The 20,989-nt window shown below is 38.7% G+C and overlaps 1 protein-coding gene across 9 annotated transcripts in view; it reads right to left on the minus strand.

Annotated features, from left to right (window-relative positions):
* TMTC1 (transmembrane O-mannosyltransferase targeting cadherins 1) overlaps positions 1-20,989 on the minus strand; it is a 283,947-nt gene that overhangs the window by 260,055 nt on the left and 2,903 nt on the right. For all 9 annotated transcript variants that reach the window (NM_175861.3, XM_047429634.1, XM_017020005.2 and 6 more), the window contains exon 2: positions 7,031-7,208. In NM_175861.3, coding sequence (NP_787057.2) covers positions 7,031-7,186 — 156 coding nt within the window. In that variant the 5' untranslated portion in view covers positions 7,187-7,208. The remainder of the gene's footprint in view (positions 1-7,030; positions 7,209-20,989) is intronic.

Below are 20,989 nucleotides of genomic sequence, written 5' to 3' on the forward strand. Positions count from 1 at the left end.
ATACTATATGTATAATGTATTACATATATGATATGCATATATTATATTTTCTATATTTATTATTCATTCTGCATTTGCATATATATACTATATATCATATATTATTTATATATTATGTATTTTTTATATAATATGCTCTATCTATAAATTATATGTAGTATATGTTATAAATTGTATAACATATTAATAAGTATTATATGTTTATATTACAGTTATAGAATATATTAAACCATATATTGCAATATAACATGTTTTCTTATTTTACATGTTCTAATATAAATTCTAAATTATATTATAATCTATAAATTATATTATAGAAAGACAATGAAGACTGGTAACTGTTTCATACTAAAGGAGACTAATGAAAACTGAAGAGAAATGACTAATGCTTTCAGCTTTCAAAAATGTACAACTAAATTATTAAAGTATAAAGGAGTATGAATTGTGCAACCTACTGTCAAATGCTTCAGAAAATAAATAAGATTTTTATATATTGAGAGAGAAAGAGAGGAAGGTGATAAAACAAATGTGAGAAAATGTGAAAAATTAGTGACTCTGGATAGAAAGTATACAGTTATTCTCCATATTTTTTAAGTTTGAAATTATTTCAAATAATGCATTACTTCAGAAGAAGATTGAAATGGAAGAGGGATGGGAAACAGATGACTCTTTACAAATCTTCACACTATTTTGCTACATATCCATGCATTTCTCGTTTTTTTTTTAATCCAAGAAATAAGAGAGTCAAGGGAAAAAATGGGATATAGCTTTTTAAAAATGCTCCAAAGAACAGGTACCATAAGAGCTGAATGATGAGGAACAGCTCAAAAGGGAGATGAACTGGGCTGACATTTCAGGCACAGGAATAGTATCACCCACGTCACAGAAGACCCGAGGTCTATGGTGTGTTAAAGAATCCATCAACAATTAATAGTAGGAAATAGTTTTCTGGGAAATATACCTATAAGCATCCTGATGCAATGAGCACGCTTTGCAGTCATGAAGGAGAAGCAGTGAATAAGCATGGAGGTGGTCGGACGCAGTGGCTCATGTCACACCTGTCATCCCAGCACTTTGGGAGACCGAGGTGGACAGATCCCTTGAGCTCAGGAGTTCAAGACCAGCCTGGGCAACAAGGAGAAACCCTGTCTCTACCAAAAATACAAATGCCTAGCCGGGTGTGCACCTGTGGTCCCAGCTACTCGGGAGGCTGAGGTGAGTGGATTGCTTGAGCCCAGGAGGTAGAGGCTGCAGTGAGCCGAGATCACATCACTGCGCCCCAGCCTGGGCGACAGAGGAAGAACCTGTCTCAAAAACTTAAAAACAAAATAAGCATGGAGGTAAACCATTCAAGGTCTGAATGTAGACTGCTCTTGCCATCTGAGATTTGGTTTTGTTATGTTTAAAATCCATGTAACACCCACTCCCTCAGGGTGGTTGTAATTCATGAGATGATATATACATAAAGGGCCTGCTGGATAAATGCTGGTGCACTTCTTTCTCCCCCTTTCTTTTTTCTTTTTTTCAGAGAAAGGGGGTGGAACTCTTAACACTGAGATAGGTTTTCCTGTGTGGCTTATAGAAATCATCTTTTTACTTTAAGGTTTACACGTACGGTATCTTAATTGTGAACTTTATTAGATAATCTAATGTATCTGTTAGTTAAAATCTACATAAAACATAACTCAATTATACACACACAGATGGACTGACAGCAAGTCACATATTGAGAAAAATTCCAGTCCTTCTTGCATTAAGAGAAACCTGGACATGGCCAAAGAATACCATTGGCAATACAGAGCTGAAAGCTATTACCTGACGTGGCTGCTTGTACCACATGCTGTTCATTGATTCATTAATCTATAAGGAACTTGAGTACCAAATCAGGAAGACTGCATGACTCAAGAGACGAATGCAGTGACAGTGTGGTGTCGCCACAATGTCAAGGTTCAGCTCAGTCTCACAGGCTGTAAAGCCGAAGTGTATACAGGTCACCTGTAAGCCCAGATCTGCTCAGACTACACTACCACCTCCTTGAACATTTAGCTCAGCATCACCTGCAAGTCTTCCTGAAGGTTAAACAGAGAGCCTAGCTCTCTAGCAACAGTCTTGAGATAAGCCTAAGCATCTGGACCGAGAAGGGCACTCATCACAGCACAACTGATGTAGCCAACAGCAAGACTTGCAAGCTGTTACTGGGTGTAGCAAGTTGGAATGAGGCAATCACAAGCTAGACAAGCTTAACTAATGTGTTAAAGGCGTCCTGCAGCCTGGCTTCTTGCATTGCAGCCAGTTTGGAAGAGACAACAGCAGACTGTGCCAGCTGGATGTGCCCAGATATAAAGAATGTAGTGTCCCTTGCAGGAGAAGCTCAAAGAGGGTGTTCAAATATTCGTGTAACACTGATAGGCTCTCTTGCCAGTCCAAACCACTAAGCATGCACTGAACACCTATTCTATACCCCTGTTGAACTGAGGTATTTGGGGCAAAAGCCTAGATATCTAAAAACAGGTGCTATAATAGTCATTAACTACTGTATGTCTAGACCAGCCATTCATTGTGATTCAACTAGTCAGTATTGTCATGTTCAGTAAGTGTGTGTTTAACTCCAGTTAACAAACATTTTCCAAGTGCTTCCTCTTAGCTACATCCTGTGCCAGTTGGAAACATATAATCAGCCTCAAGGAGTTTAACATCTGGTGGGGAGTCAAAAGAGGGTATTAAATAGCACACAAGGAAACTGCATGCATCATAAGAGGAGAAACCATTACCAAGAGAAGACTGAAGAGATTAATTTTTACTGTAGGATCTAGGAAGGCTTCACAGGTCTGGCCATGTAAACTGTGACTTAAACATAGACAAGGAGGATTTCAGGAAGCTCAAGGCGAGAGGAAGCTCAAGGTGAGGGAATGCTCAGCCTAGGCCTAGGAAGGAACAAAAATGCTTTCCAGGTGGAGGATACAAGAATGGCAGAGAAAGAGAGGTCTGGAGATACATGGTGTGCTTCTGGAAGGGGAGACCTAAGGTGATGAAGAGCATGGAGTAAATAAAGAAGTGAGGAGGGGCAATGGGAAGCAAAGATGGAACATTAAACTGGAGCCAGTTGATTTTATGACAATGTAGGCTGAATTGTAGGATGCTGGAAAGTACAAAAGCAACTGGTCAGTTCATGGTTAGTGAAAAATATATGCAAATGGCCAGCATGTATTTTAGCCTCAAACTACAGGTTTCCATTACCAACATGGTGGCTATAACCTGGGAACTGCAGCCTCTAACAAATATTCAAACACTGGAAGGAGAAACATCAGTGAACATAATTGGATAGAATTCAAATAATGTAACAGCAGATCCTCAGATCTTCTAGCAAGGTTAACAATATCACAGGCAGAAATTTCAAATTAGGAGTTAATTTGCTATAGAAACCTGTCTTTGGAATACCACCAATAATATTTGTATAAAGTATACTATATGTATAAGGCTATTGATATTTATTTTATCTGCAAGAATGAGTTCCATTAATGTCATAGCTACTGGGGAGACTGAGGTGGGAGGATTGCTTGAGCCCAGGAGATGGGGGTTGCAGTAAGCTATGATCATGCCATTGCATCCCAGTCTGGGCTACAGGGTCAGACCCTGTCTCAAATAGTAATATTAATAATTTATCTCTATATCTTCTGGAAAGTACATCTCTTTTTCTATTTCTCTGTCCTCCTCCTACTTAGAAACTTGAATTGAAATCCATGACTAAATAATAAGTCCCCCAATTTTACTTTGTCATGTAAATTGTTTTGTAGGCTAAATTTCTCTGCCTCCTTCTTAGACTTCCCTCAGAACCTTATGAATGTAAGCATCCTCCCTAACATCCTTCCCTAAATAACTACCCAGCTCTAAGACTCCTCTGTCCCTTTCACTGTGTTACTATGGATTTTTTTCAATTAGTACAAAAGCTCGCTGCAACTTTTTTTAAGGTCATTTTGCTAATAGGATTTTCCTCTTTTCTTAGGAACCAACCTTAACCAGTTCCTGATCATACTGCCACAGGCTGCCTGTGTTTTATGCACTCTCTCTCTGATACCTCTGAATTGAAACTGTTATTGCCCTACTCATTTGTTCTTTCACGCAGTAATTGTCCCCAATATGCTCTAAGCACAGATTTCCAATTGTACAAGAAGAATTATTTGTCAGAAATAAAATGCTGTCTATGGTTTTATAGTAAAACATGCCATTGGCCCAGCATCACATATTCTATATGTCTAGTAGTAGTAGTCTTTGATTATTTTTCTTCATATTTTATCCAAAAAGAACATTAAAAACTTAAGTATCTCTCTTATTTTTTTCAATTCATATCAAAAATTTTTCATCATAATTTTAAATACTTGAAAGGATCTAACTTCCTATGCATTGTAGATATCGACATTTCAAAATGAGGCCATAATGTTCCTGTATTAAATTTACCAAATGTCATTTGAACACTACAGCAACTTGAAGCTCATCATCTTCCATTTACCTAAACATGAATAGGCTCTTCTTTAATTGGTAGACACTTCATACCCTTTCTCCTTGAACTCATACTTTCATTGTATTTCCCCCTCATTTTTGTAAATTACATAGTTATGCTTAAAACTATTGTATTTATCATCCTTCTCCCTATAATAAAAAATATACAATTAAATCTATATTTCAAATTTCTTTTGACCATAAGCCTCTAAGTGTTAAAATTTAAATTTTGTATTACTATTCCAATTATTAATTCACAGATACTTGATATATCATAAATAAAACAGAAAATGATAAATAATTAATAAATATAAAAAATCACCTCTTAATAATCTAGGTATAACAGATTTATTTTCAGTAAGTTCAGTTGTCTGTGGCTGAATCTTACCTTTTGTTAGACTATGACAGCAGGTACCAACTATTCCTAGCTTTCATCTTCATAGGATGTTCACATAAATAAGTGAAAATGGAAGTAGACCTGTTACAGCAATGACTTTATTCTTTGAACTCCAAGTTATTGGCAAATATCACATAATGATCTATCACCTTACATAATTTTTAATGATCTACCAACAGACAGTGCAATCAAGTCCTCCTTTAATTTGGTTGAAAGCAAAGAATTTAAACATAGCCATCATTAGAGTTACCTGTCATTACAGTCATTTACTGTCACAATTTCTTTTAAGTACAGCAGAAAAGCTTTACTGAGACTCACCAAAGGACTATTACTTATGCCTCATACTCATCCACTTAAAGGCACCTTGCTCAGTCTAAAATACTCACAAAGAGTTGGGAAAATGACCTTTCACAGTGTAATTTTTTTATAAAGTGATCTTTCTTCATCACCCAATCAAAATATATTTTTGTCAAAACTTTGAGCTTACAGATTTAGAATTTTGTTGGTGGAAAATGCCCATCGTAGAGCCTAACTGGCAAACCAGTCCTCATCATCAAACCAACTGGTCAGATCAGACTTCTTGTGTCCATTCAAATAAACATACTATTATGCATCCCCATGACAACTATGTCACTTCTGAATTTAGAACAGCAACACAGGCCACCATACCTTACTTCTAAGGCCATGTTATATTCTTCATAGAGATACGTGTTAGACAGGGAGAGATGTGAAGCCCTCCTTTGGGTTTGTGATGCCTTAATTGGAGAATGCCTTGCTGACACTGATATATCAGACTATTCCTTTGTAAGGTACCTCAGAGGCTTGTACACCTGGGGCATAGTAAGATGCTGGTGTACACAAGGTATTCCTTAACTTTGTTAAAATGAGCAGAGGGCAACTGAGAAATGGAGGAGGGAGAAGGAAACCACCATGACATCTTTACTGCAGGTGTGTACTCAGGCAGATCAGCTTCAGGGAAGCGTCCAAAGAGATGCAAGCTGAAACTCTGGAAAAGAGTCTTGTAAAACTGTGGTGCCCATGGACCTCTCATCAAGTTTTCATCTACCCCTAGCCATGCACATCAAACAAACCAGTTGTATTTACTGAGCTGGGAAACAAAGCAGCTTAAAAATGCCATCTGATTCATGGAATGATTAAATAAATATTTTAAAAAGGGCCATAGCTATCAATACTTTTTTTTTTTTTGAGATAGAGTCTCACTCTGTTGCCCAGGCTGGAGTACAATGGTGCAATCTTGGCTCACTGCAACCTCCACCTCCTGGGTTCAAGTGATTCTCCTGCCTCAGCCTCCCAAGTAGCTGGAATTACAGGCACCCGCCACTGCACCTGGCTAAGTTTTTTTGTAATTTTAGTAGACATGGGGATTCACCACATTGGCCAGGCTGGTCTTGAACTTCTGACTTCAAGTGATCTGCCTGTCTCAGCCTCCCAAAGTGCTGGGATTACAGGCGTGAGCCACCACACCCAGCCAATACTTTTTAAATAAATTTTTCATCACCCACACAATAACTACCCTTCCTATTAAGTAACTTGGGAAACAGTATGTAAGGCTCCTAAGTCTGTCTTTCTAACTTGAAGAATGTCAGTCTAATTTTTTATAGTTCTTCCCCAGCACTTACAGTTCTGCGTAATAAACATTATAAAATATAGCAGGGTGAGAAAAGATAAAATACAAATGTGGAGCAGGAACAATGACTCAGCATGGTAAGTGTCTCGAATGGCCCTTGCTGCTTAAAACACATTAGGACTTAAATTATCTGCAAATACAAAACTGAACAAACTGTGGCCATTCATTACTACCCGTAATAATAACAGCAGTTATTTAGAAAAGCAGTTAAATCCAGGAGGTGCAAGAAAACCAATTTGAACATTCAAAAGGAAAAGTTGTCAACCAAAATGCTTTATATATAAACATAAACACTTTAATAGAGTGAACTCATATGTTTTTGAAAAGGAAAAAAGATCAGCTTAGTTTACATGTATATATCTATATACACACACATATCTACATATACACACATATTTACATGTATATATATGTGTGTGTATACACGTATACACGTATACATACACACATTCATATTCGTTATTTCACTGAGATCCAATTACACTTACCGCCTCAGTATGAATAGGATGTACAGCAAAAAGCAATGCCGTTACAAAAGCAAGTCCACGATTCTTGAAGACAGTTTTATCACAGGTGTACATCAGCACAAGAGTCACTAAGCAGTGTAAAATTATATTTACTGCATGAAAGTAGAATGGGTTCATACCAGTCAAAAATATGTTTAGCCTGTAAAACAAAAGAAAAAAGAAAAAAACTGCATTAGCTACAAACTCAACATAAACACAAGGAACACAGACGGAATCCATCATTTAAAAAGATAAGCTATTAGATTAATGATTTTTAAATGATTCCCAACATTGGGTTATTTTTTAGCCTTGGGTATGTATCACATTTTTCCTATTTCAGAATTGTCCCATGTGCAGAAATCCATGCATATACAATACAATATTATTTCAGGGAACTTTGGTCTCACTGAGAAGGCAAGCAAACAGGTGCTGAGCCTGTTTTTCCATCACTCCATGGCTAATGCAAATATGCCCCCTTAATATTCTTATTTTCACTGCTGGCTCTTCCCAAGCAACTGAGTGTTGAAAGGGAAGTCCAAAGGGCCATGGGTCAGAGCCACATACACCGGAGATGAACAGAAACCATGAAACTACGATTATAGTCACAGTTGGGACAAATGAAGCATGAATGTGTTCTCTCACCCATGGTGCCACCAGGAACCAGGTTTCTAGATTATGCAGCTGGAAGCATCACCTAATTACCACCCCACAAAGGAAGCTTTAGGGAACCTACAGGCTATTACCAGCTGCAGCTGAAATGAAAAGATGAGCAAAAGCATCATGTTCCACAATGTGTATTAAATGTTTTTAACATAAATTCCCACAGATCTCAGTACCTGATTTCTAAGACTGTGACAAAGCAATTAAAAGAGAACCACAAAGGGAAAGAAAACCAATTGCTCAACATCTTAAAAAAATACTTTCATGAGACAGAAATGCAGAATAGACAGACTTCTGAAGGTTGCCTTAAATTTAATAACAGGACATAATACACCCAATTGATTCTGTGGGGTTACAGAAAAAATACACTTGCACAAGGTATGGTTCTTTCCAGGGAGCACTGATACCCTAAGTGGTGCTGCCTACAGTTGTCTGTATTCTAGTCAATTTTACCAAAACAGCAATCCCAGGTCTTCAATTCTCAGGCCTTTGATCTGCTTCTCTTATAGAAACAGCTCTTCTTTGCCAAAACAACTAAGAATGAAAAAGTCAGCTTTAGAGATGACATACGCGTATTCTAAATAATTGACGTAATTCATGCACAGCTTTAACCTACAGAATTTTAAACATCTCAAGATTTATTTGGACATATGAATGCAAATGTCATAGTTACTAATAAACTCCATTTTCACTCCCACTGAAGTAATCAGAGTCTTAACTAAGCCTAGAAAACTAAATTGTTGAATTGGATCCAACTCCAGGGCTCTGATGCAAGATTTGACTCAGCTGTATGTTGGCAGACTCATGAGTCTGCACACACCCCAGCATCCTCAATACAGGAGCCTGGTGGGAAATTGCCCATCCAGAGGGAAAAAGGAATAGGCAGTGAACTAGAGAACTCATAGGTCCAACAAAGCGGGGAGACCAGCATGCCATTCCTGTATAGAAACACACACGAGGCAGCAGAGCTGCTTGAAGTCAGAAAGCTTGGGATGGGATAATTGTTAAGGAAGGTCAAGACCAAGTCCAGGTCCTTGGAGAACTTGGATGCAGTTCCCTAAGAGTCCACCCCTCTGAGACTGATTTTACACTGCATTCCACTTCAGCAGGCTGAGCTTTCCACACTAAACCATTCATTTAAAATTCATTCACACCACTGACAAGGATGAGAGAAAACAGGCAATCTCACATCTGATCGGTAGGTGTCCAAGTTGGAAGGTCTCTTGGTTGGCAACATGCATTGGAGGCTTTAAAAGGTATGCACTTTTGACTGAAAATTCCACTTCCAGGAATTTTCCATAAAGAAGTAACAAGAAAAGTTTGTATAAAATATATATAAACTATATATACATAAGTATATATACAAATACATACATATGTACATATACATATAAAAGATGTTAGAGTGAATGTACAAGAATGCATCTCACAGTGTAAATGGTAAAAATGGCAATAGTGAGAAAGGCAAGACATCTAACAAGCCAAATCCTTGATAAATTTGACTACTCCCATGGATCCTAAAATTTAGATAATAAATTTGGATCACAAATAATAGCACCATTTCTTTAAAAAGAAAAAAAAAGGCTTATTTTTGCAAAGTATTTATTATTCAACCATTCAAAAACTGAAAAGCATCATTAAAGATGGCATTATTACTATGTTACCTATACTCTTATCAGGTATTTAACATATATTCCTTTCTCCTTCCAAAAACAGTATAAAATGGTAGGCATGAATCACCTTTGTGGTTCATATGTGTCATATCTGAAAATGTCCAAGCGTTATCCATGTTATTTCTTGAACTTAGTCAAAATCTGAAAAAATACTTCTGTAAGACAGACATGCAGAATAGAGAGACTTCTGACGGTTGGCTTAAATTTAATAACAGGCCCTAATGCACCTAATTCCATCTGTGGGGTTATAGAAAAAACACGCTTGCACAAGATATCGTTCATGCATCAGAAGCTTAAAAACGTACACACAAGAATGCCTGGTGTATGAAGTGAATTCAATTAGATCCCAAAATATAAAATAAATTGCTGAATGAGGAGTCCCCGCAGTAATGACATAATGCTGTGAAAGTCCCTTACCTGGAACCTAACATTGGTGAATCTAAGCTTTAAGAAATCACCCTGAATCTGGAGTTAGGAATATTTTTAAAATATCTAAAAAGATGGAGAGTGAATTCTCCAAATTACAGACAAGTAAGCTTGAGACAAAATGCTAACGAAAGCTTCTAGCGTATTCTACGTGTGATCACAGAGAAAAGAAGTTCTGATTCTGGGAGATAATATGGGTTCACAAAAAGGGGGTTCACTGATTAACCTCATAATTTAATAGAAAAGGGGATGTGATGCATGCATCACATCTTTATTTTAACAAAGGCGTTTATCAAAATCTCTCAAAATCTCCCTGCAAACAAGACAGCCTAAGATAGATTTGTAGCAAACACCAAGAGTAGTGAATAATAAATCAATGTCTCCTTGGACTGAGATCTCCAGTGTATGTCACAGGGTTCTGATATTACCTCTGTTCTGTCCAATATTTTTATCAAAGGTTTAATGAAACTATACAGTGTATACTTATCAAGATACAAAATGCCTTTATCTGGAAAGGAGAATTAATGTACCAGAAGAACTAACTGACATTCACAAAGAGTTTAAATGGCTGAAATTGTTAGCTAATTCTAACAGGATTAGACGGAATAGTGGTAAGAATAAAGGCTCACATGGGGATATAAAAGACAACAAAATACTTGCAATCTAGATTAAAACTGTACATAGGTCATTGCCCTATGTACACAGAGTTAACGTGTGTCAGTTATCAAAACAGACCAAACCAGACAGACAGGGAACTGCACAAATCAAACAATTTTTCATTTCAATTTACACAATCAGGTATTTATTAAGCACATACTACATGTCAGATATGATTCAGGGCCCAGAGATACAAAGAGAAGTAAGACGTGGCATCTGTTCCCAAAGAGTTAACAGCATAGTAGGAGCAGGCAAGGTAATTAAACAGCGAATTAAATGTTAAGGAATTCTGGCAGTGGGAGAACTTACCAGGTGCAGACATGGGGAAGAGGGAGGTATTCTACCTGAGGATGGGAGAGGCAAGATAGGTGGTATCCAAAGTGGGGCAGCAGACAGTCAGAGGACTTTTTAAACACAGAGCACCTTCACAGGAGAACTTCAGGATGCTAAGGGGGGAGGGAAGACCCTCAGAAATGATGCCTCTTGAATGTAGCTTTGAGGAAATGGAAGATGCTCAGCCTAGAGAAAGATGACAGAAATAATGCCAAGTTCTCCAGGGGAAAAGATCTTTGCCATATTTATGGCTACATCCACAGTGTCTAGCACAATGCCTCATTCATGATTATCATACAATAGGCATTCAGATGAATGAATAAACATGAATGGATGAATGAAAAGCAATACTAAAGGAATGCATTTATTCTAAGTAGCTCCCTAAGGGGAAACTACAATCCAATAAAGATGTTGCAAACTGTCTTCCCAAAGGCTAGGTTTAGCCTGCAGGTTGTTCTGTTTTACTTTCATACTTCTTTTTTATTTATCAGGGTTTTAAAAACTGGTGGCTTCATATAAAAATTTCCAGCTTCTCTTGAAATATTAGAAGACCTGACAACTCTGGGCCTACACGGCTGCATGGAAATATCTGTGTGCCCATCTCGAGAGGACAAGGGCTCACAATTTGCCATAGTCTCTACCAATTCCTATCATATTCCTAACCTGAAGGCATTCATTTATCATTATGCACACAATTTTTTTTTGTGTACGGTAAAGAGGAAAGTGAAATATTTCTTGAGCCTGCATGACTATCACACATGGGCAATAAGACAGTCAAAATGACTGCTTGAAGAAAAATGGGAGAAAGCATATTTCTGGAAGAGGAGAATATTCCCATGTACCTGAAATGCAAAGTATTACAACATAACCTCACATCCAGCTCACTTCACTCACTCTAAGATCAGCCTGACCCTTTTAGCAATTTTCAACTTTTAATATGCAAAGTACTGAGAGGCAGGCTTCAGCTCAAAGTAGGAGGTAACACTGAAGCTAGTACACATTTAAAGATTTAAAATTATATCAGTTGCTTGGATAACCAGAAATGTCCACAAAGAAGTATAATGACAACCCACATGAAATACCATCTAAAAAGAACATCTCAGGTTCTATATCACCCTGAATGTACCCCTTTGAAAGTATTTAACCAATTTTTTAAAAAACTCATTAACTATATTCCTCAAACGTTTTTCATACACTATAGGAAACTAATTTCTTTTTGTCATTGTATCCATCTCACTCAGCATACAATAGATTCTAAATGAAAATTTACTGAACTTACATTAAGTTGCAATTGGAAAAGATCATCTTTCCCTTTGACTTCAAGAATCTCTCATTTTATTTGGTGTAGCCTTCATTCTTCATTTAAAACTAGGCCAAGCAGTAGGAAATAAAATAATATTTTTGGAAATAATCTTAATAGCCATCTCTCACTATCTGAAAACCTTCCAGAGTTCCACAAATATGAACCCAAATCGCCCCTTCTCCATCTGAACTCACTCTGCCTTCCTGTAAAACTTCCCAGAAATGTAAGGCCGTGAGTTCTCAGATAAGCTGGTTTGCAGCATGCCATATCCCTTCCCAGGAAAGGGTATGGGGTCACAAAATCTGGCACCAAAGGGGGTTGTGGGGTGGAGAGAAAGGGAGAAGAAAGAGTTGTTGGCTGCCCTCTGCTTCCTCACTCCCACAGCCTGGAGCTTAAGATAAACCCCATCACTGTCTTTTAAGTTTCTTCTTTGACAATAGCTCTGATTTAGGAAAAACAAAACAAAACAAAACAGTAACAGTCTGTATTTGTGAAACAGAGACACACAGCAGAGAAGGACTAGAGTCCTTCCTCAAAAGGACCCCAACTCCATGTCAATCAAATGGCTCTACCTCAAGGAACTGGCATAGGTCTGCAAACTGGGTAAGACATCATGACTCTACATGTGGTGACCCAAGCCTGATTCCTGGCCCTGAAGCTGGAGTTTTCCTGGAATAAATTTTAGCAAAATTTTAGAGGGCTGCCCATCTACTTCATTCCTAGGGACAATATGATTAATAAGCCACCACCAATGATCGCTGCAGGTCAAAACATTCTGATTATCACTGTGTCCCAGAGGCCCATCATGATCAAGGCATTCACCTTGTCTTTGGCAGCTAAGCTCTGCCACTTGGTCTTTGGTACTCCAGGAACCTATCACCCCATGAAGTCAGAAAGTCCACCTCAATGGCAGCATCTCCTACATCACACCTGGCCTACAGAAGAGATCCACCAAAGAGCTTCTCGAAGTTGCAGGTGCTCCTTCACCAATGTAATTCTCAATGCCTCAAAAAAGGGAAAGTCATCTGGCCCTCTCTGGGAATACAGTGGAGACATGAGTGTGTGTGTGTGTGTGTGCAGGTGGCATGTGATAAACGCATGCCAGCATTCCTATCTCAATAAGCCTTTGCGTTCCTTTCTCTACATTATGCCAGGGAGATTTTAGCATCTCAACCTCATTAAACATGGGCCCCCATGAGTCCCAGTGGTTCTCAACTGTCTTAATCATCTGGTGTGGTAGCTACAATTGTTGATTCTCCGATCCCATCCCAAGATATTCCAAGGCAGCAGATCTAAACTAGGGCCCAGAGATCGGCCCCCAAGCAACCCAGGTGATTCAAAGTCAGGTGATACTCAGAACAATGAGAGACAGGTTTCAAAGCTTAAGGGAAGGCTGCTAGTATTGCCCAGCTTTCCAGAAAAGCCCAGATTTCTCAGCAGTAACACAAAGAATAGAGTACATTCTTTTCCAAAGAAATACAAACCAGGGAAAACCAAAAATTAAAAGTAACCCTTTATTATCTGTTTCTGGTGTCTCCAGTGTTGGGTTCTCCAACACTTTCAGCATGGGTTTCCACAGCCCAATGCTAAGCACACAGCACATTCTCCTGTATTCCTCTATTACTGTTCATCTTTCTTTTTCCCAACCTCTTGCCATCATTACAGATCTCAAATGCTTATAAGAGGTTTCCATAGTCTTCTTAGATCATTCAACCAATAAATAACAACATCTGGTTCTTCTCATTTCTCCTCTAAGGCAAAAATCCCTTTGGCCCTCAATCATTTTGGTTGCTCTTCTTCTGCATTCCCTTCAGTACCAGGAATAAATCAGCAAATCATTATTGCTTAATGTATCTGAAGTACAAAATGATGTAGCTCCCAGGCACCAATGCAAACAACAGTCCAGAGGGGAGATTGATACTCTGCAGCTGAAGCAAAATTCATGGCTTTGATTTGAGTTCAAGGCATCACATCCTTATCTGGCTATGAGGAAGCTGCCCCACAGGAAAGCTGCCCCATGGGAAGGGAGGTTATTGTCACTGTTACATTAGTACTAGAGTAATAGTACAGTTATTAGAGTAATAACTGTACTAAAGAAAGGGTAAGAAAACTGAAGGCAGGAAGATCAGTAAATATATCTGGAAGGTAGCAAGTCCCGGAAGAAAATCCTCAAAAAGAGAGCCAGCAAATAATAAAAATTATGACAGACCAAGGCCAAATATTTTAGTTTTAACTGAGCTGTCAATTTTTAGCATTTTTTTTTAAATGTGTGTTTGGTGTTTGGTGGAGTGCCTGATTGTAATGCAGTTCTGACATCAACTTCCCAGAATTAACAAAAACTCCCAGTTGAGGGCAAAGTCGTCCACAAAACTCCTCACACTTCAGACATCAGCCACAAGTTCCTCAGGCCACCAGTACTTCTGACCAACTGGCTACATAATCAGGGCCTCCCACAACTCCCTCAGGTTCGATCATTCATTAGAACAACTCAGAGAAATCGAGTAACCCCTATACTTATGGCTATAGTTTTCTTATAAAGGATACAAGTCAGGACCAATCAAAGGAAGAAACCTACGGGACAAGGTCCAGGAGGGCCCTGAGCATAAATGTTCTATTTCTTCAGGATGCTTCACCCTCCTAGCACATCAAGGTATGATTACCTACCAGGGAAGTTCAAGCAAACTTCAGTGTCCAGAGTTTTTATTGGGGGTCCCAGTATGTAGGCACAATTGATTGAAATCACTGACCACACAACAATTCAATTTTCAGCCCCTCTTCCCTCCTAGGAGGTTGAGATATAGGAGTGATATCACATGCCTCACAGCCCCAACCCTCTAATCATATAATTGGTCTTTACACCACAGCCAGCCCTCACCCTATAACCATCTAGGAGCCCACCATGAGTCAACTCCTCCTTAGCATAAACTTAGGTGTGATCCCAGGAGTCCATCATGAATAATAAAGAAACTCCTCTCACTTGGGAAATTCCAAGGGATCAGAAGTTTCCTCCCAAGAATCCAGCACGAAGACCAGAAAAAAATCACTGTCATGTTAGTTTCTCTGATAACATATTTTCAGGTACTTGTACTCCATTTGATCCAACAAGGCCATTCCTTATAGAAAGCATAGGCATGGATGAATCTTAGGAACCTGAGATTGGAGTGTAGTGAGAACCCCCTATAATTCTGGGTTTTGAAGGTACAGCTGCTGTTTCTCACCTTGAACTTTGCAGCAAGCATCCACCAACCATTTGTGCTGCAACCTGCCACCTAAGAAGAGTAAGATCCAAAAGCGCTACAGATCTTCATTCTCTACACAGAGTTACAGTTCCAGCAAGTTCCAATAGAAATTCAAAGTCATCCCTTTCAGAATCTCTCAGTAAACAGAACCCATTGGTATCCTCTGTATACATCTGAGGAAATTCCTAGTCTGCCTCCACTTTTCTCTTTGAGAAAGAAAGAACAAAGGTAAATTAGTGAAAAAGTAAACCAAGCAGACTTTTTCTCTACATTATAATCATGTAGCCTTACCTTAGTATTTACCTGAAAAATCTGAGCAGTCACAAAAAGGATTTATTCATTCTTTAAAAAATTAATTCATTTTTAATTGACAAATAATATTCCTTCTTTCAATGATAAATCTTGAGTCCCTACTTTGCAAGCCAGGCTTAGTTGTAGGTGCTAGAGATAAACCTCATGGAGTTTACACTGTAGTGAGGGGAGGTAAAACTCAACAAAGCAGGGTAAGGAAATAAGGGTAAAAAAACACAGAGGAGTGTTTGCTACTTTGATCACCTGGCCACCAGGGAAGGCCTCCGGGATGAAGTGACATTTAGGCAGAAACCAAAGGTGGTGAGCACATAAGCCCTGCACAGATCTGGGGAAAAGCATTCAGGAGGAACCACCAATACATGCAAGGCCTTTGGTAGCAGTGGGTTTGGCCTGTGCAAAGAACAAGGGCTCTGGAATGCTGGTGCAGAGAATGAGGTGGAGATTGGTAGACTAGGGATCAGAGAGGTAGCCAGGGGTCAGATCAAACAGGACTTCATAGAAAAGAAACAGTATCTTATTATTTGGGAAAGAAACACTGCCATTGTGTGGGCATGATCAGGCATTCCTTACCCCCCTCTCTCTCTTTTTATTTTTTTTAACAGAGTCTCGCTCTGTTGCCAGGCTGGAGTGCGGTGGTGCAATCTCGGCTCACTGAAACCTCTGCCTCCCAGGTTCGAGCAATTCTCCTGCCTCAGCCTCCCGAGCAGCTGGGACTACAGGTGCACACCACCATGCCCAGCTAATTTTTGTATTTTTAGTAGAGATGGGGTTTCACCATGTTGGCCAGGATGGGTTTGATCTCTTGACTTAGTGATCCGCCCGCCTCAGTCTCCCAAAGTGCTGGAATTACAGGGCATGAGCCACCGTGCCCGACCTCCTTACCCCTCTCTTTAAGTGAGATGATGACATACTCAAAGTTAGGAAAAATATGAATGTAGCTCCAAAGAAAGACAGAAAAGACATTGGTTGGTAATAATAGACTGCTTCGGAAGGTGATTTCCAAGCCTTGATTCAGGGACTCACCTATAAAAACCCTCATGAGTCCAAAAATATATTCCTCTCACTTTCTGTCCCTCCTACACTACCAGACTGTAGTCTATAAAGTATATCCTACTAGATTATAATCACAACCTCCACCTCTTGGAGCTTCCAAGATAACCTTAGGGTGGCATAAAATTTTCAAAGGCAGTTTTTCATTTTTCTTTATAAAATTTTTCTTGCCTCCAATCACATTTTCCCTTGGTTATTTCTGTCACTGAACATCCTAGACAATCTAGTCAAACATCCTAGAGAATCTTCACTTGTGTCCTATGATAGACTTAGAAAACAAACTTATCAGCCTTGTGGCAACAGGCTGTGTCAAAATGAAATCCCACAGAAGTTGAATGAAAAGGAATAGAAACAAAAGAAACATATCACCGTTTCTTTAAGGTTGTGGGCATGGAGGTTAGCTAGTGCTTATTTTCATGGTTGGCATACTATTTGTAACTAAAAGATGCAAACTACTGCAAAAAACCTTCAAGATCAAACATTAAAATGCTGTAAATTCCTACAGCTGCACATATTAAGATAGTCTATTTTTTGGCTCTGACATTTTAAACCACCCACTTTCACTCTTATGGTTTATATTACCATCAGAAGCTCTTAATAAAATAAAGCATTATAGCAAATATAATCTAATAGGCTAAACACACAGAGAAAGAATCAGGATTTTAAAGTCCTTTCATTTGCTTAGTTTCCCCATCTTTAACATTAAAAAATCATTGGTTCTTGCTTGTTGAAGCAGACTTCCACCTGCTTACTGAATGGAATGGCACTGCGAACAATTCAGCAGTATCTTCTTCCCAAGAGAAGGGTTGGGATAAAATTAAAAAGCTAAGTTTATTTTAAACCATTCTGGACCATTTTTCAAGGGAGGGGTTATGGACATCATAGAGTTTGGTTCTGTGTCAATTCACCCTCTACAGAGTAGCTTAATGCATTTCTCTTGATTTCAGGCTTACAAACAGGTCATGGCCAGGGAAGGAAAAAGAAGCAAAAAAAAAATGTTATTGCTGCAGAGTCACAGATGTTTTGATTCTGTACCACTATGGTCCAAAAATATTCTTGCATGCCCTTGGGCATGATCTTATGAAAAGACTGAATCTGAGATTTGACTGGAAACAGAAATTCATTGTAATTCTAAATTCACTTCAAGGAACACAAAGAGATGGTCATTTGTATCAGTTAGGGTTAGACTAGAAAACCAGAGCCACCATGAGTGATTCAGAAGAAGGGATGTACTATGGGGATCTGACCTTTTACTATTGCTGGGGCTGGTTAAATAGCCTATGTAAGTGTGATGCTTCTGTGTCTATTATCCAAGTTGAAAGCCAGCAGGGCAGCAGGGCCATTCTGGAAGAGAGGGTGAATGGACTTGAAGTAGGGGGAAGCAAAGGCAAAATGGAACCCACAAGGATGAGCTAAAATACATGTCTGTTTTCCACTGCCTTTAAGGCTCCAACTTTAACAATGCAAGAGGCTTGCAAAAAGACTGGCACTCTTCCCTGCAGAGCTGCATACACACCTGCACCATGATTCCAAGTAGCTGAAAGACGAGATCTGGAGAGCACTGGAGGAGCTGAGGGCCTGGGTGCTGCTGCAAACCAACAGCATGTTCACCAACATTTCTGTGACAAACTGCAAGAGGCCTGGCAGCAACAAAACCTATGCCAACATTCTGAATGTGATCTTAGCCACTTCACTTTCACCTTCCAAATCTTGCAGAAATTTTTCTTATGGTCAGCCCTAACCCAGATCATCTTGCAAAGGCAATTCCAAGAAACATAGTCCCAACTTAGCTAAAGTGACATAGTGCAAAGCCACCACATCTTGGTAAGCTGCTTTCATATTCCACTGTCCCATCCCCTCAAAACTGGTAGAAGTAGATGGTCTGCAACCCATTTCCTCATTTCAAATTTTAGTTCATTTCTTACTTGAAAAAATACATAATTAGTATCTTTACTACCTAAGCAAGCACTTTTATTATTTATTAGTATACAAGCAACCACCTTTATAGCAAAAAGTATTATGCATCTATAAATTACATTTATTCTTAAGGAAATTTCTAGCTCTCAGTATGCGTAAGATACATTCAATGAATCAAAAATCAACTTACATTTTAATAAAAAATATGTTTGGAGTATTGCACTGAGAAAGGTCCTGTGAGGAGGACAAAAAGACAAGCTACAGAGTGGGAGAAAATATTTACCAATCACATACTTGACAAAGTACATGTATCTAGAATATATAAAGAACTTCAATACTCAACATTTAAAAAAAACACTTAAAAATGGACAAAAGACACAAAGGCACATTTACCAAACTCTTTGGTTTAATATCAGATGTTCAATAGCTTCACCCATTAGGGAATGGTAAATTAATGAGGTACATATATAGGTGTGATATCACTACATACCTATCAAAATGGCTACAGTAAAAAACAGCAACAATACAAAGTGCTGGCAGAAATGCACAGAAACTGGATTACTCAGACACTGCGGCTAGGAACATCTGGAAAACAGTATGGCAGCTTCATATAAAGCATATGAACATGCAGCCACCATATGGCCCAGCAATTGGACTCCTGGGCATTTAGAACAGAGAAATAAAAATCTATGTTTACATAAAAACCTGTAAGTGAATTTTTATAGCAGCTTTATCCCAGCCAAAAGTTGGAAACAACCTAGATGTCCCCAACAGGTGAATGGTTATACAAACTGTGGTATATCCATACAATGGAATACAACTCAGCAATAAAAAGGAACAAACTATGGATACATGCAACAGCCTGAATGAAGATCCAGAGACATGCTGAGTGCAAGAAGCCAATCTCAACAGGTTACATACTATGTGATTCCATTTATACAACAGTATTAAAATGGCAAAATGATAATGGAGAACAGATTCATGGTTGTTATGGATTTGGGTGAGGGGATTATGGATTAGGCAGTTGTTATAGATTAGGTGTCCATGATTGCAATAAAGAAGTACTGAGGATCCTTGGGATGGAATTGTTCCGTATCTTGACTGTGGAGGTACTCTCTGAAATCTACACATATGATAAAGCTGCATAAAACTAAATACACACTTAGTAAAATAAAAAAAATAGAAGTACATATAAAATGGGTGAAATCTGACTAAATGCTGTAGATTGCATCAATATCAATTTCCTGGTTGTAATATTATACCATAATAATACAGGATGTTACCATTGGGGGAAATGGATAGAGTAGAAGGAATCTCTCTATTATTACTTAAAACTGCATGGGAATGCACAATTACATTAAAAAAGTTTTTAAAACGGGTTTGAAATCTCAAAGTTTTTGCTCAAACAAGCATAATTTAAGATACAGTTAAAATGGTTTGCACATATTTAAAGGGCCCCTTCAATTGTGTTTTCACTATCTAAAATAAAAATCATAAAGACGTAATCTATGTGAAGTATCTAGGCCAATGCTTGGTTCATAGCGAATAGTTAATAAATACGGCTTTCTGTCCTTCCTTGTACCATCCTGTAGAGTTGTATGGTTCTAAAATCACTGATATCCTCCAGCTTCATGCTATACCTCAGGTGAATATAAAGAAAACTGTCCAGTCTTATTTAAATCAATGCATGTGAGGACAGAAAGACTACTTAACATTCTCTTTCTGAAGAGGCAGTTATCTCTTTCCAATTAGTGCTGTGTTTCTCTTCTAGATTTGCAACTCAATCTTCTCAAAAAAAGAGTGTATCTTTCATAGGCAGTAGCATATAATATACAGCAAGCCATGCCTCTTAGACACCAAGCTGCTTGTTACAATCAATGATTACCACAAGAGTCCCTCAGCTCTCTTCCTCCTGAATCCCCCAACTCTCCTTTGCCCTTGTTCTGTCAACTCCTAGCCAATTTTCCTCTTAATCAATGGTCTTACTTCTTTGTCTACTCCCTCCACCCCTCCCTTATGTGCCTGCTGTCTCCATTATGAAGAAAAATAAAACATTTTAGGTGAGGTACAGTAGCTCATGCCCACAAGTCCAGCACACTGGGAGGCTGAGGCTTAAAGATCGCTTAGCCCAGGAGTTCAACACCAGCCTAGACAACATAGGAAGACCCCATATCTACAAAAAAAATTTTAAAATATATCTGGATGCACGGCATGTGCCAGTAGTAGTTCCAGCTACTTGGGAGGCTGAGGCAGGAGAATTGCTTATGCCCAGAAGTTTCAGGCTACAGTGAGCAATAATCATGCCACTGCACTCCAGGCTGGAGGACAGAGTGAGATCCCATCCCAAAAAAGAAAAAAAGAGAAAAGACAG

This window comes from Homo sapiens, chromosome 12, assembly GCF_000001405.40.
Source record: "Homo sapiens chromosome 12, GRCh38.p14 Primary Assembly".
NCBI lineage: Eukaryota > Metazoa > Chordata > Mammalia > Primates > Hominidae > Homo > Homo sapiens.